The sequence below is a fragment of the Homo sapiens genome, chromosome 1 (assembly GCF_000001405.40).
Source record: "Homo sapiens chromosome 1, GRCh38.p14 Primary Assembly".
NCBI classification, from domain to species: Eukaryota; Metazoa; Chordata; class Mammalia; order Primates; family Hominidae; genus Homo; species Homo sapiens.
In genome coordinates, this window is record NC_000001.11 from 162,054,066 (window position 1) to 162,060,910 (window position 6,845).

At 44.1% G+C, this 6,845-nt stretch overlaps 1 annotated feature.

The window, feature by feature from the left end:
• Positions 1,912–2,426: an enhancer, noted in NCBI's record as "OCT4-NANOG hESC enhancer chr1:162025767-162026281 (GRCh37/hg19 assembly coordinates)". NCBI's record gives its function as "activates a minimal SCP1, AML or CMV promoter by ChIP-STARR-seq in naive H9 embryonic stem cells {active_cell/tissue: H9 hESC(naive)}" and the evidence as "EXISTENCE:reporter gene assay evidence [ECO:0000049][PMID:30033119]".

The window sequence follows — 6,845 nt, forward strand, 5'->3', positions numbered from 1 at the left end:
ATATCAAAGACTTGGAACCAACCCAAATGCCCATCAATGATAGACTGGATAAAGAAAATGTGGCACATATACACAATGGAATACTATGCAGCCATAAAAAAGGATGAGTTCATGTCCTTTGCAGGGACACAGATGAAGCTGGAAACCATCATTCTCAGCAAACTAACACAAGAACAGAAAACCAAACACTGCATGTTCTCACTCATAAGTGGGAGCTGAACAATGAGAACACATGGACACAGGGAGGACATCACACACCGGGCGGGGCCTGTCGGGGTGTGGGGTGGGAGAGGAGGAGGGATAGCATTAGGACAAATACCTAATGTAGATGACAGGTTGATGGGTGCAGCAAACTGCCATGGCACATGTATACCTATGTAACAAACCTGCACGTTCTGTACATGTGCCCCAGAACTTAAAGTATAATTTTAAAATATTTAAAAAAATTTATGTGAGAAATAAACTTTTATTGTGCTAAGTTACTGAGATTAGGGATTATTTGTGACAGAAGCTGGGGTTAATAACCCTGACTGATACAACCATCTTCCTTAGAGTGAGGATGAGGAAGAAAAAGACAGTAGAGGGTCAGGGAGAGGACGGCCCCCATTGGCCACATATATAAGAACAACACATAGAACTATGAACTAGAAACCCAAGTGCCTAGAATCCCATACTTCACAAATGGAATCAGCATCTCTATTTGTCCTGCCTAAAAATACAGTATTTAAATCTAATAGTTATCAAGTTGCATTTTGCTGGCAGTGCAGGAGACTTAGAGACAAATGAGACAGAGTTGCTTAAGTCTTTTGTGGCAGCACAGTCCCTGCCAAACAGAAACACTGGATAAATATTTGTCGAATTGGATAGTTGGAGTCAGATATGAAACAAAATGTAACACAAGGTAAGTGTCTACACAGGGCTATGGGAATAGACAATAGAACAATTAATTTTGCTTGCATAGAGTATGTGTGAGTGGTTAGTAAAGGCCCCAGTGTCTAGATGTCTTTTACAGAACAAAGATGCAGACAGCCCTGGGTTCCTTATAGCTCTTAGCAATGAAGCTGATGGCTTGGGCTCACCCCCTGTCACTGCTGCTCTGAGAACTCCCAGGCCTTCCTGACTCCTCCACCCGTGGTCCCCCCCATCTAGATCACCCTTTGTTGGTTCCTTTCCTCCTTCCCGTGCACATTCCTGTAGTACTCTCACACTTCCCTTCCCAGCACCTCTAGGGAGGCCAGGGCTTCAGGACACCACCAGGGAGATATTCTTGCCCATTTCTTGTTTACTATGAGTCAGCCCCGACTCACCACCCAGGGCTGTGCATCCTGAACATAGGTTTTTCCAGCCTTTGATGAGAAGGCAGTGCTGTGGCTCTCCTATGACCAAGAGAGAAGCCAGCACCTGGTTATCCATGGAGTTACCTTACCTCACCACCTTTCCTTTCTGCTCACACCTTTCAAGTTTAGGTTCTGGAGAGGTTCTCAGGGGAGTAGGCACATGGCCTGGGCCTACGGGCTTCTTGGTTCTCACAGGGGTCCAGGCTCTAGTTCTAGTCTATGCTTTCTTTTCTTTTCTTTTCTTTTTTTTTTTTTTTTGAGATGGAGTCTTGCTCTGTTGCCCAGGCTGGAGTGCAGTGGTGTGATCTTGGCTCACTGCAACCTCCACTCCTGGGTTAAAGCAATTCTCCTGCCTCAACCTCCTGAGTAGCTGGGATTACAGGCGCATGCTGCCTGCCTGGTTAATTTTTGTATTTTTTTTTTTTTTTACTAGAGATGGGGGTTTCACCATATTGGCCAGGCTGGTCTCGATCTCCTGACCTTGTGATCCGCCTGCCTCAGCCTTCCAAAGTGCTGGGATTACAGGCGTGAGCCACAGCGCCCGGCCTCTAGTCTATGCTTTTGAGGGCATTAGGGGAAGTTTGTGTTTCAAATATATTTTGATATTCTTAAACATGTTTCATGATCTTTAAAATAAAAAGATGAATCCAATGTGTTCTGTAAAATGGGGGTGGAGGTGGATCTGAGGGTTCATTTCTCAGGCTGCATCTAGATCTTTTAGGAGGGCACCACTACTCAGTTCTGCCTCTTGAGGGCACCAGAGACTGTTTTGCCATCCACAGAACAGCAGGGAACTAGGCAGCCATCAGCTGAGTGACCCATGAACAGGCGATGTTTGGCCAGCCAGGGGAGCCCTGCTTGGGGGCCATAGCCTTGCAGAGCTCTGCCAGGTTAGTGGGATGATGACGGGACCCAGAAACCTGAGCTATGGCTTCAGCTCTGCTCTCAGCTAGCTGTGTGCCTTTCAAAAGCCATTTAACTTCCCCGGGCTTCAGCTTCCTCCCATGTATTAAAAGTAATGGCCAAAACCTCAATTATCTTTGCACCAACCCAAAAAAAGGCCAGGGGTAGAAAGAGCTGACCCAGATGGCTTCTTCTATATTTAGGGCTTTGAATTGCCCTAAATCATGGAAAAACTGGAAATGATAGAACGGCATAGATTCTTATTTCCTGGAGCCTTTGAAAGTGTTCCGGTCCTGAGCCCTGACCTCGACATGACCAGAAATTGGTTATGGCAAGATGGCTGGGAGCAGGGGGCAGGTGCTGACAAAGAGTAAATGAAGAAAATGAGGCTCAGGAGATAAATCAGAGTGGAAATGTCACAAGCTCTCCCTAATTTAGAATCATAACTGATGCTAGGAAAAGGACCTGAGAAAGATTGCATAACCTTTTTGTAACTATCCTCTGCCTGTCCAAGCTGTGTATGAAATAATAGCTATGAAACACAATACAAGCTAAGGGGGCTTTGGTAGCACTCAATAGCCCTGTTGAGATGTGGGTGGGTGTCTCAATAGTATTCCGAGTCACAAATGAACTTTCCTTGACATTTCATTTCCATACCTGAATTGTACATAATATTTTGGTTCACACCAACTCACTGAGGTAGGAAGACAAAATGCATGTCTATAGCATTAATCTTGGAAAAATGAATCATTCATTCATTCATGAGTCAACTAACGAAAGAAAGAGCAAGCGCCGAGTGGGAGAGTCTTGGCTGTGAGGGTAGTAAAGGCAATTCTGATTCAGGCACAACTCTTAGGAGTGGAAGTCTTTGGCCCCCGAGCAGAGAGAACTTGGTTGCAGGTCAGTGGGGTGTATTTCACTGTCCCAGATGGCACTTGTATGTAGGTTAAACTCAGAATCCAAAGTGTTGCTAAAGGACTGTATGGAGAATATGTGGGGAATGGGAGCAAACGGTAGTCTTATATGTTGTGAATGCCAGAGGATAGATAGAGACAGCAGGGGATGTTCTGAATGCTGAAAAAACCACGTTACCATTCAGTTGGGGGCGACATCAAAATTCTGCTCCTTGCCTTGTAGGGATGTCAGGTGGGATATGGGTCAGTAAAGCAAGATAGAAGTCTGGGGAGTAATAGTGCTTAGAGAGGCATCAAGGTAGTGGGATCCCTAAAAGGCTTTTTGAGAGGGAGTTGCCATTCCAAATTCAAGAACTTGACACTTTCCCTAGGGAGCCATAAGGAAAGCAAAGTACCTTTTCTTTGATCTTGCTTTGTAGACATGTCTTCTTTCAGAAAGTCCCTCCTATCAAGGGAGCCACAGGTAGATAGGGGTACAGTGGAGAGGGTTATAAAAGTCAAGGACTAAAGAGAAGGAATACACAGAAGGCGTGGGGTGAGCATGGAGGGTGGCTTGCCTTCAGACCTGGCTCCAGTGCTTATACCTATGTGATCTCGGAAAAACCCTATAATCTTCCCCAGCCTCAGTTTCCTCTTCTGCACTATGGGAGCCATACTTGTACCTCTCTCAGAAGGTTCTCATAAGGATTAGGTGAAATATAAACAAATATAAACAAAAGGCTTTTTAAAACTATACGGCATGGACTGAAAATAAACTATTATTATTATGAAAGGCAGAGGCGGTAGGTGCATACCAGAATGCCAGGATTATTACTTTTCACACATGGTGGTGTTTTGGGGACCCCTGCAGCCTTGCTAAAACTACTTCTACTGGGTGACTGCAGGTGTTAGCAAATTAAGTTTTTAAAAGGGCTCAAGAGCACCTGTGTGCGGGCTGAATCCTTGCATTATGACTTGGCAGCCTGGTAGGGCATGCTGGTCTCTGGAAATCACCTTTTGTAGTAGGCTGGGAGGGGACCTGGGGGTACCCACAAATTATCTGCTAGTTCTCCACTTTACGCAGGAGATCTACTTCTACCTCATCGTGGTAACCTACAACTTACATGACAGCTAGCCATGGTGACCAGAAACTTTATTGTTTTGTAACCCAGTAGGCCATGAATGCCTCCCTGGTGTGCCAAGAAATTGCATATACCATAGTTGTAGAGCCAGGTAATACAGGCATGCATAGGTTTGGACACAGGGCCTAGGAGGAGAAATCCTGGGCACCAGCCAATGTAATGTATTCCCAAAACACATCTTTGAAAGGCTGGATGGACCTTCTTGTCTCAACGCACCACTAATGCCACCATGGCATGCATCTGATAATAACAGATATCAACTGAGAGCTTACAACATGCCAGAAACTGTGCTGTTTTACATGCATAATCTCATTGTTTTAAAACTTTTTTATTGTAAAATATACATAACAAAATTTATCTTAACCATTTTTAAGTGTACAGTTTAATGGCATTGAGTACATTTGCAACGTTGCATGGCCGTTACCACTATTCATTTCCACAACTTTTTCATCATCCCAAACAGAAACTCTGTACCTATTAAACTATAACTCCCCATTTCCCCTTCCTTCCAGGCCTTGGTGACCACTCTTCTACTTTCGGTCTCCATGAAATTGCCTATACTAAGTACATCACACAAGTAGAATCATACAGTATTTGTCATTTTGTGACTGGCTTATTTTATTTAGCATGTGTAATTCCTAAAGTTTCATCCACATTGTAGTATGTGTCAGAATTTCCTTCTTTGTTAAGGCTGAATAATATTTCATGATATGTAAATACATTTTGCTTATCCATTTATCACTAATAAATATTTGAGTTGTTTCCACCTTTTGACTATTGTGAATAATGCTGCTTACAAGTTTTTAAGATGGAAAATTCTAAACATATACAAAAATAGAGCACAAAATATGATAAAACCTCATGTACAATGATCAACTCATCAACAATAATCAACTGATGGCCAATTTTGCTTCATCTATATGCCCACCTACCTCCCCCCATCCCATATTATTATGAGGCATCTCAAACATCATACAGTAATTGTTTCTAGTTTACAGAAGAGGAAGCTAAGGGACAGAGAGGTTTGAATTTGACCAAAATTCAAACTCAGGCAGTGTGATGACTGGGCTCATACTTATAAGTCTTTGTGTGTGTGTGTGTGTGTGTGTGTGTGTGTATGAGTGTGTGTTCATACATATACACACATGCATGGGGTCAACCTTGGGCAAAATTGCATATTTGGAAAAGTTTGCCTCTGGTGCCTCTCCCTGCGTCTTTTCCCATACTTGGATGCCACGTGGACTTTAAACATATGAGCACAAGTTTGAAGTCTTAGTTCTTAGTTACAGGTAGAGTCAGTAATGCCTGGCCTCCAGAGTGGGTGTGAGGATTAAAGGAGATAAGATCAGTAAAAGTGTTGGGCACCTTCAAGCATGTGGCAGATCAGTACACATGCTTTCCCCTCCCTTCCTTGGGGGGCCAGGCCCACCTTCCCTCCACAAAAGCAGACCTCAAGGAAACATGCACTATCAGAGCGCAACTCTCAGATGTCAAGGGGTAATCACTGCTGGGGGATTTGTGTTGTGAAATAAAGGATTTTTACCCTGCCAGTGAGTACACGACAGAGGTGGTGCAATTCCTTCTTGCCAATGAAATCATGTATGCGTGTGTGTGCAAGCATGTGCATCCACAAATGTGTAAAATAGGTTGGTGGACAAGTTCAGACTTCATTCTCTACCCAGACCATTACATTTTCTTTTCTCTGAGGAATTGTGACCCTGAAACAAATAACCACTTTTTCTCTCTTTGTCCTCTATTGGCTAAAATAGGAGGACAAGTCCTTTGTTGGGACCCTCATCATTTTCTGGCCCAAGGATACGAAACCACGGGACAGAGGTCTGAGCTCAGACAGGTCTTGGCAAGCCTGGCTCATTTCACTTCTAATCCTCTGTGGCCAGGCCCCTGGAGGTAACTCGGGAAGGACTGCAGAGCTCAGTGGACAACGGAGCAGGACTCATTGGTTGACCACAAAGTCTCAGGTAACCTCAAAATGTATCTGCAGAGGGGACAGGAGGGCACTGTGGCCTCAAGTATATTGAGTGATGGTCAGCAATAGTCTGGTTGGCCACTTCCTCTACCTGGAATGGGCTTTTCTGATCTTGCCCATGGAAGTAATAGAATCCTTTAATGCCAAGCTCAAGTACTGCCTCCCCTGTGACATTTTCTGTGTCTCCTCCCACTCTCCACCTCCACCCACCCCTGGTTGCCATACAAAGTGATCTCTCCTGCTCTGAACTCCATGGTATCACTTTTGTGCCCTCTGAAGCACTTTTAGTGCTTTATTTTTATACCATCGGAATATCAGTCTTAACTCCTTGATAGATCAAAGTGAGTTCCTCCAGAACAAGAACTGTTTCATCTATTTCTTTCCACTGTGAAGAGCCATTCAGTCATGCAACTAATGAGCATGCAGACTAATGAGCTGACAGAGCATGCAGTCAGCAACTAATAAATATCTGTTGGCTAAATGATCAGATGTCTCACACAACCATGGCACATAGCAGGCACTCACTAAATGCACACCGAACGAAGTAACATCCATCTCCAACATAAGAGACAGTTTACCCTGC